Source organism: Homo sapiens, chromosome 1, assembly GCF_000001405.40.
Source record: "Homo sapiens chromosome 1, GRCh38.p14 Primary Assembly".
Lineage (NCBI taxonomy): Eukaryota > Metazoa > Chordata > Mammalia > Primates > Hominidae > Homo > Homo sapiens.
Window position 1 is genome coordinate 202,722,087 of NC_000001.11, and position 15,088 is coordinate 202,737,174.

The following is a 15,088-nucleotide window of genomic DNA, read 5'->3' on the forward strand; positions in this document are numbered from 1 at the left end:
TTTTTCCCTCCTTCTGACCAATAGGACCAGCCATCAATATGGCAAGAGGATACATGGCCCTTATGGAAACCGAATGGTGCTATCTGGTGGCCAAGCTGAAGTGGCAGCCAGAGTTGCCCTAAGTTTAGCCGTGGCTCAAAGGACACATACTGAATGAAATCAATGGGAACGATGTTGAGGTAAGTGCTTGCATATTCAGTCACACTGCCTTATTCTCTCTTCTAACTCCCCTCTGCTTAACTGGACATTCTTTTCCTTGATTCAGTAAGACCTGCTTTAGTTGTTCACTCTTGCTCCTTGAAGGGTTTGAGTGGAGTGTGAGGTGGTATGGAAATGAAGAGGGCACAGAAACAGGCTGTGGGCACTCATGTCCACCATGTCCTCTGCTAATCTCCTAAGGCATGCCAAAGTCCAGAAGCCTGTGCCCAGGATCTGCCTCTTGTGAAATTGCCTAATGTACAGAGGTATCTGTGAAACACACCATGTTAAGGACCATGGGTTCTTGGTCTCAAGAGGGAAAAGGAAACTAATCATTGAGGCATTTTGGTCATTTGAGGGTGGCCACTTCAAGGCTAAACATGGCTGCTAGATTTCAAGACATCTCTAAAAAATAAAAGTACTCCACAAACAGGGCTATAAAAAAAAATAAGTGATCTATCAGTGACTGGAGGTTAAACCCTAAGTCACATTTGCCCACTCTATTCCCTGCTGGCTGGAAGTAAGAGGAAATGTGGGGACAGCAACAGAGATGAAGCAGGTTCACCAATTCCAGGACCAATATTCTTAGTTCTTTGAGACATGTAGAATGTCCTGGACAAGGAACTAGCAAAGCAACCAGACCAAGAGCTCCTCCTTACAATAAGGCTAAGGCCCAGATCAGGGATAAGGCCCGCATATTATTCCAAAGCCCACCTCTCCTAAGGACGGGCTTAGTGAAGTGTTGCTTCATCTATTTAGTTTCCATGCCTGTGACATAGTAACAGTGACTATGATGGGTTAAAAGCATTAAAAGAACAAAATTCCAAGTGTGCTATAACTGGCCAGTGGATTAGGATGGCTTCAGAAGCTATGGAGCATCTTAAACACCAGGCTTCTCCTAGGAGCTTAGAAAGTCTTGCAAGAGGCCAGGTGCAGTGGCTCACTCCTGTAATCCCAGCACTTTGCGAGGCCGAGCCAAGCAGATCACTTGTGGTCAGGAGCTCGAAACCAGCCTGGCCAACACGGTGAGACCCTGTTTCTACTAAAAGTACAAAAATTAGCTGGGCATGGTGGTGGGCACCTGTAATCCCAACTACTTGGGAGTCTGAGGCAGGAGAATCACTTGAACCCAGGAGGCAGAAGTCGCAGTGAGCCGAGATTGCGCCACTGCACTCCAGCCTCGGTGACAGAGTGAGACCTCATCTCAAAAAAAAAAAAAAAAAAAAAGAAGAAAGTCTTGCAAGAGGCAGACCAAGTGATTTAAAAACAGACACTCTCTTGCATGTAATGCCAGCACTTTGGGAGGCCAATGCAGGATGATCCCCCAATGAGCACAGGAGTTTGAGACCGGCCTGGACAACATAGTGAGACCCCATCTCTACAAAAAAACTTTTTTAAAAATTAGCCAGGCTTGGTGGCCCACACCTGTAGTCCCAGCTACCTGGAAGGCTGAGGTGGGAGGACCGCTTGAAGCACGGGAGGTGGAAGCTGCATTGAGCTATGATCACGCCACTGTACTCCAAACTATGTGAAAGAGCAAGACCTTGTCTCAAAAAAACAAAAACAAAACCAAAAACCACACACACACACACACACACAACCAGATACTAATACACTCTTAAGCAACTTCGACCAACCTATGCTCTCCCTCTACATTCCTTCTGTAAAATATACTCGTGGTCTCGGCCTGCCGAGCACCTGTGGCCTGCTCTCACCAAGTAGTATTTGTTCCTAATCATATACTAGGTCAAATTGTTATAGTAACTATGTTTTGACTATTACATAAACCAATGAAATGAGTGTGTAAAGAGTTTTTATAAAAACCAGATTGAGTTAGTTGTAAAACTGTCTATTTAGGTGGGTAAAATTCTTACAAAAGATTGGAGAAAATGATAAGTATTTAGAATTCTAAAATCAAATTCCTAGGCCAGGTGTGGTGGCTCATGTTGGGAGGCTGAGGCGGGTGGATCGCTTGAGGTCAGGAGTTCGAAATCAGCCTAGCCAACATGGTGAAACCCTGTCTGTACTAAAAATACAAAATTAGCCGAGTGTGGTGGTACATGCCTGTAATCCCAGCTACTTGGGAGGCTGAGGCAGGAGAATCATTTGAACCTGGGAGGTGGAGGTTGCAGTGAGTCGAGATTGTGCCATTGCACCACAGCTTGGACAACAAGAGTGAAACACTGTCTCAAAAAAAAAAATCAAATTTCTTTTGTTGTTCAAATTCTTTATGCATTTTAAAGAAGCTCAATCAAGCTCACATCATAGATAATGCATTATGGCTATTATGAATGAAGGCCCTCATCCCCAAACTAATTTTTCTCAATTTTAGTGTTTATTAAATGGATATACATATTTATGATTTAGGTTAAATATATCTTTCTCATCCAATAATTTAACTTTTTTATTAACTGTTGAACTACTTGTCCTGATCATACACAGAAGGGGCTTGTGTGTGTGTTTGTGTGTGTGTGTGTGTTCACAGCAGAATCACAGTCAGTGAGAACGTATTGGCAAGGGCAGAAAGGAAGCATGGTTTGAAACCGCACTCTTCTCCAACTTCTAGCTAGGTAAGTTTGCCAGGAGCTAAAAGTTTTGGTGTTTAGAGGGGTGCCTTTGGACATTTATTTTAAATAGAGAAAATAACTTTTGTTTCCTCAGAAAGGCAACTTTTTAATTTCTCAATTTTCCCATCCAAGGGGAGGCAGAAAGAATGTTCTTTGGCCTCCACTCACCTGGAACAGGTCAAATGACCTCACCATTCCATTCCTCTACTGCAATGCAGCCGGTTATCCTGAAAATAAGAAACACACCGAAACTCACCACTTTCTAGCCCTTCATCCTTGCAAAATTAACCCAGAACACAAACAGGGAGCTGGATTATCTGTTCTGTTGTTGACTGGTTTTAAATGTTCCATTTATACTGATAAAAACGTAAGGTGTATTCCTATGTAAGCAATATTGAAACATGAAAAACTTGTTCACATAAATTTGAAGGGAGAAGTGAAAATATACACTTTACAAATTGATTCTTTACATCTTGAAGATGGATTTACAACAGTATTACTTTATACAAATTCCTACTTTATACAATTTTTTGTTTAGGCAGCTTTTCAGTAACATTTCTATAATAAGTTACACATGAAGCCTCCCAAAAGAAAGCTGAGAAGCTTAAAATAGCCACATGCAAAGGATTGATGACAGAGGGGCAAAGAGGGCGAAGCCATCACACTGCTGCTTCATAGTCACTAGGAGTTGAGGGACCCTGACCCTCATACATAGCTCAATAAAGGCCGACACTGGGATCTTCATTGCTTTCCTCAGCTTGTCTTCCCAAGAAGCAATGTTTCATCAGAAGGGATTGGGTTTTCGCCAGCACTATGGCAAGGAAAGACTATTTTAATATAGGCTGACACTAGCATGGACTAGTATGTAGTTAGTCTGATAATGAATAACCAGCTCTGGCTTAATGCTTTACAATGGGCAATGACTCTTAAAATCCTTGTTGTCCAATTCTGTCTCCTGTTACAGGTATATAGCATCTGGAATCCATTCCGGTATGTGTCATATGGCAAGAAACATAGGCAAGACTGAGCCCAGAAAAACACCCATGGGTACTAAATACCAATCAATACCTGCTCCAAGCCAGAAGCAGGTCTTAACAGACTGCCAAATATCCATCAAGATTTTTTAAGTGAAATACAAAGAGGCAGAAACCCATTACAAAGGGCCTTCAGAGTACAACCCAAATCAGTAGAGAGCCATGTTTCACCCTCTTCCAGGTAGAGATCTACTCTATTCTTAGGCTAATCTTGCACTAATACCCAAAGGGCCATGTTGCTTTTGATGGTGGGTATAATGGCAAATCAGGTGCATTTCAGACACTTCTGCCAAAATATCCAAAGCCTCATTTTCTTAAGCTCTTCACTGGAGAATGAAGCAGGGAAATTCAGGTTTTTAACAACCTCCATCACCACAAGTGGCATCTCTCCTTTAGGTTAACTTAAGATAGAAAAATGAATCCCACCTCCTAGGATACTGAAACGAAGCTGTAAAGAAGTCAACTTCCTTTACATAGTCCAAATTACATAACCTTTCTCCAGGATAGAGGCTACATATAATCAAGCCCTTTATTCTATATAAGAAATCCCCCAAAGTCTAATCTGGAAGGAAAAACAAAAAACAAACAGTATTCATTTAGGTGAGGTGGAAGGCACACCTCATCTACCCTTTCTTTCTTTACCCACTGACCCTCCTTCTGGTTCAGGCTCTAACTTAACACAGTCCCTTCCCCTCTCCCACCTCACAAAGCTGCAGGACTACTGAGATGGAAACTGAAGTGTCAGTTTCCATGTGCATTTTATCATTTTCCCCTACAAGTTCAGAGGTTTCTCTGGTACAGGCCAGCTTCACAGCTAACACACAATGAAACATGGTTTTTAGATCACATCAGTCTGTAGTCATTTTAGGGATACAACAAAGGCATAAACTGGAAAGTAAACGTTATCTGTGTTCATTAGTAGTGTGATGGTGTACAAGGTAGGAGGAATACTGTAGGAAAACTGGAAGATAAAACCCAGGCTTTGTTATTTACTAGTAGTACAGTGTAGCTTTGGGCAACTGACATTCTCTTTAAATTCAGCATCATCACACATAAAATGATCAGTGGTTCTCATCCAGGGAGGGAGTGGTTCAAATACACACATGCCTACCTTTTCTAACTCACTCAGAGATACAAAGATCTGACTTCCTCAAAGATGCTATTGTCAGGGACTGTGTACCACCACCCACAGGTGAAGAAGAAAAACTAGTGGGGATGGGGGTAGGGGTTGTGCTTACTAAGATGGCAAAAGCTCTCTAAAGGCAGTGGCTTTATATTAGCAGCAGGGTCTCCTTTTAAGCTTAATTTCTCAATGGAAGGTGAGGACTGGGACAGTTGGCATCCTATCTCAAAGTCGGGGGTGATGGAGGGGATTCTAAGAATTTGAATACTAACAAGGCCAAACCACGATGATTCCAAATTGTACTCTGGAGACTATTCTTCTCTATTGGCCCCAGAACCACCATCAGACGAAGAGAAACATCACAACAACTGCAGAAAACTGCAGACAACTAGAAGTCATTCTTAAAGAGATTTAATTATTTGAAGTGCATAAAAGGGGAGGGTACATTTAAACCTCTGCTATATCACAAACTGCTGTTTTTGTTGTTGTTTTATTAAAGACCCACCAGTTTTACTCATCTTCAGGTTTATGGCTATAGAATGTGGGGAAAACAAAAATTGGCAACAGAATAGGAAAAGGTAAGCAAAAGTCTGGTCACCAGAATGTCTTCTCCACTGCAGAACAGACCCCTTTAAAAAAGAAAAGCAAGGAAAATAGCTATGGGCTATCCACAGCCAGTAATGATAGCTACAGTTAGAAAGAAATGAGAAAGGAAACCAGGAGGCAGAGTCTGGGAATTCACAAGTCTCCTCTCAAGACATATACTAAACCCGGACCTCTGTGAGGATTAATTTTCCTTAGATTTCCTTCCAACGTCTTAACCCTAAACCAAGTTCCCCTGTCAATTCAAATATAATAAAGGCAGCATTCCACAAGGAAGACTGATTTGAGGATTGAAGTGATTTGCCAACATTCTGAGAAAGCTTATTTTAAAAGAGCACGGCTTTAAAGATAGGTTCTAGTCCTTGAAGACAGAGGGGTTCTTTGTTAGTGAGGGCTGTAGGCATATGGCCCACCAAACAGAGCAGGACACAAAAGAAGAATCCCCTAATGTTGTTTGCAGGCTAACATCCACTGCTACTGCAACCTGGTTGGGCAGAGGCAAAAGCAAGCAGCCCCTTCTGGCTGTGCAACAGTAGAGGGGCAGAAGAAGCTGTGCTCTAATGGCTCTAAATAATCAGCATTTAGTGTTATGTTAGGACGAAGGATTTATTCCACAATATAAACTGTAACATTTGATACAAGCTACCAAAAAATAGGGGAGAAAGGAAGGGACAGGGAGAAAGCCAAAATACAGCTGTGGCAATTACTTACAGAGAAGTCTCTTTTCTACATCACTAGTTCATCAGTGACACTAGAAACTAGACATTTGTGTTCTGTACATCAATCAATCGCTAAAGCACCAACACACTGTTTGGAAGTTTGTTTTGTTTTGTTTTAATTCCAGCCACTGAAACCAACATAGAAGTTATTGCTCAGATAAATAAACCTAGTCTACCAGGAAGAAGAAAAGTGGATAAAGGAAAAGAAGAAACAAACAAAAACTCCCAAAGTGAAAAACTTAAAAATTTCCCCAATGTGGTAACAGAGTAAACAAGGGAGAGCTTCCTCAAATGAGGATTTACTGGAATTTCTGGTGGGTGCCCTTTTGGGCACTGGAAGTGAGTTGGACTCTTAAGCTGGTAAATCCCAGAGAGAGGTAAAATTTTAATGCTGTACATGAAAAGGTGCAAGCTTCAATGCCTTCCAAATTGGTGGGAACCCCTGCAAAAAAAACAGTCAGCTTTTCAAACCTCAACAACCACAAATAGCTCTTAAGGAAAAAATACAAAAAGTGTCAAAAATTTTTTTAGTTGTTTTTTCTTTTCTTCAAAGAGTCCTGGAAAAATGATCCCATAAGGAATAGAAATAGCACCGTTTACAGGCTGGCTTGAGTACCAGTCCTGTAGCTTTGCTGAGATTTGAAGAAATCCTCTTGGTTGGAGTCCTGAATTACATTAAGTAGGGGGGTATCTGTTTTTGTGTTTTTACTTTCGGCTTGGTGCGTCCTTCACAGTACAGCGCACACAGATGTAGTCTTCTTTCTCTGCCATCTCTGGGGAGACACCAACACAGACCTGATGAAACCACTGATTGCAGCTGCCATCACACTGGACCCAGTCCACCTGGTTACAAAGAGCAGGAAGATGGGGTTTTCAGAGGAAAAAATGGATTCAAAATTGGGCAGGCCAGCCTCAAGAAATTCAGGCCGTTTGCCAATAACAGCCACTGTCCCACCACTGGGACCTCTGGCACAACAGCTAAGCCAAATGAGTGTAGCTGGCCCCCTAGCCAAAGCAACCGAGTCAAAGTCATTCTTCAAGTCGTGTCTGCTTTGGGGTTAAGACAGCGCTGCCCTGTGATAAGTAAGCCAAAGGGCATCACATCAGCATCCCTCCCACCTTCTTAGCGCCGGGAAGGTGAAAGCTGGAAGAGCAAGAAAAGGAAAAAGGGAAGAACAAGAGTTTCTTCAAGAAAAGGGAGGAGACCCAGGAACGATGGTAAGAGCACAGATATCAGTGGGGGAAGGGCTGAGCAATCCATTCAGATCAGCTCAAAGCAGATAAGCAGAGGAGAAAGACCCAGCGAGATGAGGTCTAGCTTACAGGGTTTCTGAGTTAAGGGAAAGCACGTCCTCTATGGCCCAAACCTCACTGACCTCATCTCCTTCTGGCTGCAGGCAGCTCACAGCTGGGCAGATGGCATCTTCATCCTCAGAGTCTTCCTGTTCGGAATAGGATGTGTCTGAGGGCAGGGAATGAGTTTCAGCAGAACGAACTAATTCATAGCTACGCTCTCTCTCTAACTTGAAATTGTTCATGTCCTTGGGGTGGCTCAGTTTGATTTTCTTCTTTTTGGGGGTCCGCATTTTCTTAACTCGTTCCCACCGCTCACTGGAGAGGCCCTCTCTTTCCAGGCGTCTCTTCAGTTTTCTCTCAAGACTGTTAATTCCATCTCGCTTCCCTCGGCAACAGTCATTCTGGGTGGAAGATAGGAAAGTTCAATTTTCGCCTATGGGTCACCTATTACTAAAACTAATGAAGCTAAAGAGAACATGTAAATTAGAAATCAGATGATCCCCCAATCTACACGGGAAAAAAATACTGCATCTTAACCACTCCCCTCCCAGTCTTGTATAAGACAACCAGTTTGGGTTTAACATACTTCCTTCCCCTATCACTGTTAATGCTACCAAAGGATCACTGGAAAAAGGAATGTTAAAGACGTGATTACCCTTCCAATTAACCAACCAATACCAGAAGATGGAGAGGTGCCCACTAAGAGTCTTCCTTTCACCAAATCCCTGAATGACTAACTACTATAATAGTTTCTGTCTAGGTGTTTATGTCTATCCTGTGACCTACAGGCTCCTGAGGAACCACACTAATAATCTTCCTTCTTGAAGGATGTACACCCCCACACCTTATAGGTGTAAGGCGCATTAACTGAACACATTCAATGATTGTGCCATACTACTTGGTATGGCAAATGAAATTTGCCATGAAAAATGAAATTCTAAATGCCAACATCAGCCCTCATGCTATCTTTAGTGAAGTTCTTCCCTAATTTGGCTTCAGGCTTCCTAGTAGATTTCTATCCTAACTATATTCTCAGGGGCCTTAAATGTGATGGGTCAGTTAGTTCACTAGAAGGAAGTGGCAGCAGCCGCAGTATCCTTAACTATGTTAAGAAACAGGACATTAAGGAGTATCCTTCAACTAAGTCAGCATTCAAAATGGGTCATCCTCAGTCTAATCGCCCAGTCCTCACACCAGCTGTCTGGTTATGTTTCGAGGAGTAAAATAAAGCATACCCCCACCCCAGACTGTGCCTTGCCCCAGAAGCCTCTCAGACACTCACCTTCTCACTGCTGGGTCTCACTGGTGAGCTTCGGTCAGTCTGCTGAGCAGGGCTTGGCTTTGCAAGTAAAGTCTGGTAAAGTTCCTGAATTTCAGGAAGGGATACCTGGAGCAGCTGGGCTTCCATCAATAGTTCATTCACTTCTGGACTAACACCTGTAAAAGACCAGACCAAATCAAAATGATAACAACAAAGGGTGTTTCACATTCACATTTGGGTTTATGAGACAAATAGAAGGACTGCCCCTAATACCACTACTACCCTCTCCTTCTTAAATTACAAATTACCTTCAGTTGAAGTGAGGTTTAATGTGCCTAAAGCCACAATATAATAAACAGAGCCAAAACTAGATTTCCTAAGTCTTCTGATTACTAGTATTAATTATACACTGAATCCTCTTCTCATTTACCTTATTGCTAATGCAGAAGAGATTGTACTTCTGCCTTGATGACTTCTAACAGAAAGCACAGAAACAGACTGATGGCCACAGTGTCAACAGTCTGAGTAGATCAAGGAGCTCTAACCACATTACTAGACATACACTGAGATGCTATGACTAAGGATCAGGACTCTAGCAAATGTGGATTATCCCTAAGATTCTCCACAAGTCTCCTAAGTAATGAAGCAACAAGAGAGCCCATGACTTAGCATCTGACTTAAAAGCTTGGTGTTTATCAGCTGGTGTGGCATGAACCCTTTCATCCCTGAGGACAATGGATATAAAGTCTTCCTCTCTGTTCCTTTGCATTTATAAGCCTTCAAATAGGATCCCTTCCCTATTTTGCAAATACATAATAGCCTATATCCTACATTTCAGCATAAAGTCCTTTTTATGGTACTTGATCATCTATAATAAAAACCTAGTAATACAAGATCACTCATTACTATCCAGCCCTCAACGTAATAACAAAATACAAACCATGGAGGGGGATACAACTTCGTCCAGTTGAGAAGGGGGAGTGCAAATATGAGGTTCTGTTGTCCCAGTCATCAGGCAAAGAAAATGATGTTGTGCCAGGAGGTTGAGATACCTAATGGAGGGAAAACGTTTTATAATAAAATCTCTTCAGGATTAAAAATACTCCCATTAGTCCAATGACAGTAGCTTGCATTACCCAGGCAGGCAACCAGGGGAAAAAAAAAAAAAAACAACTTGATTTTCCCCTACTGAAGAGTCTCCTGGCATTTCAGAACTGGCCAAATCAACTCATATCTTCCCAAAGACCAAGCCTTTAATCTTTCCAGTTTTACTTGGACTGATTTCAGAGATGTAAAGAAGGCCACTGGGAAATAAGCCACTTTCTCAGTGTGAGAACAGATCATACAGCCTTTTAATCCTTTTCTAATTCTCCTTATTGAAGATTAAAATACGATGAACACATATGTACCCCTTTGAGTAAATCAAATGAGGACCTGTCAGAAATCATCCATAACCACTTTCCTATCTTCCTTAGTGTTTTATTAAAGGAGCTAGGGGAAACACTCCTTTGACCATGAATTAATATAAGAGTTGTGTCCTTTCCCTTTACTAAGAAAGGTAAACTCCTAGCACATCCTGGGTAAAGAACACCAATGACTCCACTTTGGGAGTGTGCACAAATGCCACAACTCATCTATGCAACAAATATTTAATTCATCATCTATGTGTCAGGCACTGTATTTCAGAAGCCTGCAAAGAAATAAAAAACCAAGGAAACAAATATGACAGACTGTTTTTTTTTTTGTTTGGTCTTCATCTTATCAACAATTTAACTCATATAATCCATGTGTCTGTGCTCATATGGCACAAGAGAGTTGTGGTATCTCTGGTACAGAGATGTTTACCAACTTTAAAAACCATCAGATTAACCTCATAAAGATTGAATACTGTCTTCCTGATTGTACTTTTCTATTGTCTTCACATTCTTTTACTGCAGCCACCTATGGAAGATAACAGAAAACTCTGCCCATCCAGTGATGTCAAAAGAATCCAGCTTTTGGCAGAAAGATCGCAAATGGTGTGTAACCCAGGAGCTTTCCTCTGAAATAACACAGTGCTCAAACACTTCTTCCAAAAAATATTTTCCCTTAAAGGGCAAAAAGCGATAAAAGGCAGGAAGTGTTTTCCCTTTCTACTAATTGACTTACATGAGAAGAAGCAGGGTAAAAAACTTTTTAGTCAAGCAAAGACTTAAAGATACATCATATACGTATATGTAAAATATAAATGGGTCAGCATACATATAAATGAAAAAATTATTTGTATCTGTGAAAAGCTAAATATGTGCTCTATAGAAAGAGTGCCTGGGAAACAACTTCTAATAGGAGCAGAGGAAATTAAAAGAATATGTTATACCTGCATGGTCTTGAAGTGGGAAGCTACAGGTAAAGTGGGTGCTGTTAACAGTAAAGTGATCACACCAAGGGAATAGCAACACCAAAGCTACAGGTTCGAGAGAAAGGTACAGAGCTTTGCAAATTCCAATAACCCAACAAGGAAAGTCCAGATTCACCTTGTTTGTGTCTGACACCTGTCCTGCTGAGGCTTGCCATCTGCTATATAACAGTCCTGAGCCCACTCGATCTTGCACAAATTTAAGATTCCCTGACGAAAGCAGTTGCTGGGCTCTGTGCTGCCAGTTCACGGTTCTTTCAATCATATATCGAAGTGCATCTCCCTCAGGAAGGCGAACTCGGATACGCTGAAGGGAGGCGAGCAGGGGCAGAATTTTCTCTAATGGAGGTTTCTCTGACCTCCGACAATGGGGACAAAGCCAGATTCGCAGGCCCTGTGAAATACTGGGTACCGCCACACAACTGGTGTGGAAAGCATCCCTGCAGAGTTCACATTGAATCATAGGGGCAGCTGGGGCCTTCTGACATAGGCAGATTTTTATATCCACATCTTGGAGAGGCGACAGCAATTTCCCTTCATTGGCGAGTCTGAGAGACTGCAAGGCTTCCATTTCCCTTAGGCGAGCTTCCCCAAGAGTTGCCATCTGAAAAAGAGTTAACAATCAAGGATGATGTCCGAGATGGCTTGGCCTTCCCCTAAAACTCAGAGTCCTAGTGGTTAAGAGCATGGGATCCTGAGTAGATCATCTGTATTCAAATCCTGACTGCCTCATACTAAGCTGTGAGTGACCTGGTGCCATGTATTCCATTGTGGCTAAATTTCTGCATGTGTAAAATGGAGGTGATAATAGTGCCCACCTTACAGGGTGAGATGACAAGTAAGAGATGTGGGATAGGACACTCTTTGCCTGGCACATAGTAAACAAGTTCTCAAAAAATCTGTCACAGTTAAAAAACCATTTCCAATCACCACATCTATCCCCTTTCAGATCCATCACGATTCACCAGATGAAGCACCCTTACAAGGCCAGAATAAACTCTCCATTATCTCTATTAAAAAAAAAAAAAAAAAGCCTAAAAGCAAATCAGGTAAAGACCTTTGGGTATATTAAAAAAAAAAAAAAATCCACTTCTTTTGTAAATATAATACACAGGTAATATGTGTGGGTTATATGATAACAAGGTAACTTCTGACAGCTTAGAGATGGAAAGCAAATGACTAACCTTTGAGTTCTACCATAAATTAACAGATAATACGTAGGGAGAATTCTTAAAACCAGGGGTCTACAGACAGATGGACAGACTAAAATCTACAAAAGATACTGCATATAAAGTTTCAAACCAACATATATACACCTCAGGAGAGGGGGACTGTAACTTTCAGTTAGTCTTTATAAAAACAAACCACAGATGGAATGGAGGACCTCTGATGGCAGAATTCTGTCTAGAACCTGACTGAATATACGAATATACACTAAGAACATCTGTGTCAAAATACCTAAATAAATCAAGGCAACCCATGTCTATCACAAGAGGTCTGGCAGCTACAAAGAAATCAATGGGAGAAGGTGTCCAGATCCACAGATGAACCCATTCAATCTAGTCCCAGTAGCAGGTATACATTCCCACTCTAGAACGGGCAATGCTTTGTGCCATTAAAAGCATCACATAGCTATCCCTTTTTTATCCCGATAAGGTGCTTAATGTGTAACATTAGTTATACATTGCCTCATCTTCTTTAAACTATCATCTTTGAATCAACAGTATTTACTAAATGCAGGTCAGAGATGTAAGGTATTCCAGATGAGTATCAAAGTATCCAGTAAACTTTTAAATGTACTTCTTAACTATAAACTAATAAATTAGCATTGCATTTTCATACATCTATTAATATTAGTCTCAATATCTTTAGTTAGCATTCCTGGATCAACCCACAGGCACTAAACAAGACTGTTTCTGTGCCTGCAAGACCCTGAGACTGGGAAGCCTACCCTGAATCTTTCCCACCTCTATGCATCTTACCATTCAAAACTCTTAACACTTGACAATTTTCAAAAAGTCTTTTTAGTAAAACTGAACGCTTTCAAGTTACTCTACTTGCCTTCTCCAAATTCCTATAAAACAGAAAGGGTTAGAAATTATTCTTCCCAATAACATAGAAAGGAGAAGAAAAAAACCCTACATACAGCTGAAGCAGTCTCCTTGCTTTCAGTTAAAGCTCTCTCCAGGTCACTCAGACTCTCTAATTTGGTGCTTTTTTTCTTTCCATTTGGCAAGGGCTCCTTTAACTTTCTCTGCTTCCTTTTCAATCCCAAAAGGCCAATATCACATCGAGGACACAGCACCTAATGTGGGACAAGGCACAACCAATGGTAAAATAAATTTCAGATAAAGCATTATGTAGGAAGTCCCAAAATAAAAGCCTAAGCAGTAAAAAGGATGTGCATTTCTTAGTATTGAAGATTTTCTTTGGAACATGCAACCCTGAGGCTCTCCTTTACAAAAGGAGGAGGAAGACTCATAAAAGATAGACTGATTCCTTATTCAATTAAGTAACAAGTTAAAAATGTGATATATACTGGTTGATCCCAGTCATGATGCACAAGCAAGTTTACAGAAAATACAAAAAGTGCAGTTAAAGCACTTTTAAAAAATGGGGGAGATCATTTATCAGGCTTACTAAATTCAGGTGGGCGAAGCACGGCCAAGTTTAAGAGTCCAATTTCAACACAGAGGAATTTCACCCAATAGGAAAAAATTTTCTTCTTTAGATACTGTTATGCTAAATCAACCAAGAAAACATTTAAAGGTTGCTTCACCAGAAAATTAGAAGAGTCTCCCTGGCTTTACGGGAAGAACAACTCACAGAATATAGATTAATCTGTGATGTCATCTTTGTATGTGATGAACTGCATGTTTTACCAAACTAGGAGATCTAAGGTCTTGCAGATGAGCTGGTTGTAAACTTACCTCTAAGAGAGAATATGGAGAATTCTCAGTCAAGAATGTATTAACAGCACATTCTTTCCAAGCCTGAACCTCAGCTACTAGGGTTTCCAGTCTTGGCAAAGAATTCAGATGTACGGGGATAGATCGGCCTCGTGTAACAAGTTCTATGAGTGTGTCTAACACTGGCACACGTCCTCCAGCCTAATAAGTCAAGAAAAATTACAGCAGTTTAGAGAAAAGAACACTTCTATGAAAAACAGGAAAAGCTTAATTCAGATTGGTCCATTGAGTACTTCAGATTACTCCATGATCTCAACATGCTAAATTCACAAACGCTGACTAACCTGCCAGCTGACCAATGATATTGGGGGTAGAAGTGACATTTGTTCCTTCATTACACAAACAGAGAACCTAGTTTGGGTCTTTTGTTGGTGGTGGTGGTGGTAGTGTTGTTTTTTTTTTCTTTTTTTAAGACGGAGTATCACTCTTGCCTGGGCTGCAATGCAGTGGTGCAATCTCAGCTCACTGCAACCTCTACCTCCTGGGTTCAAGCAATTCTCCTGCCTCAGCCTCCCGGGTAGCTGGGATTACAGGCACCCATCACCACGCCCAACTAATTTTTATATTTTTAGTAGAGATGGTGTTTCACCATGTTGGCCAGGCTGGTCTCAAACTCCTGGCCTCAAGCAATCCTCCCACCTTGGCCTCCCAAAGTGCTGGGATTACAGTGAGCCACTGTGCTGGGCCTAGAGAACCTAGTTTGTGCTAGGCTCTAAGGATACAAATGTGAACATGGCATATACTGTGGTCCCTTTGTTCTATTTATACCCTTCTAAATTCATTCATCTCATTGGTTCCTATTAACAGTTTGAAAAAAATTTCAACAGAAATGAAGGTTTGTAGTAACTCAAGACTTTCATACTGAATTACACAAATAAAAGGCAACAAAACAATATTTTACCCCAATCCACTCACCAATGATT

General features: G+C 41.2%; 1 protein-coding gene across 6 annotated transcripts in view; it reads right to left on the bottom strand.

Moving 5' to 3' along the window:
- Positions 2,409 to 15,088, bottom strand: part of KDM5B (lysine demethylase 5B) — an 83,927-nt gene continuing 71,247 nt past the window's right edge. For all 6 annotated transcript variants that reach the window (NM_001399817.1, NM_001347591.2, NM_006618.5 and 3 more), the window contains 7 exons: positions 14,127 to 14,306; positions 13,343 to 13,501; positions 11,315 to 11,800; positions 9,742 to 9,853; positions 8,823 to 8,977; positions 7,621 to 7,941; positions 2,409 to 7,087 (listed from right to left, as the gene is read on the bottom strand). In NM_001399817.1, coding sequence (NP_001386746.1) covers positions 6,950 to 7,087; positions 7,621 to 7,941; positions 8,823 to 8,977; positions 9,742 to 9,853; positions 11,315 to 11,800; positions 13,343 to 13,501; positions 14,127 to 14,306 — 1,551 coding nt within the window. In that variant the 3' untranslated portion in view covers positions 2,409 to 6,949. The remainder of the gene's footprint in view (positions 7,088 to 7,620; positions 7,942 to 8,822; positions 8,978 to 9,741; positions 9,854 to 11,314; positions 11,801 to 13,342; positions 13,502 to 14,126; positions 14,307 to 15,088) is intronic.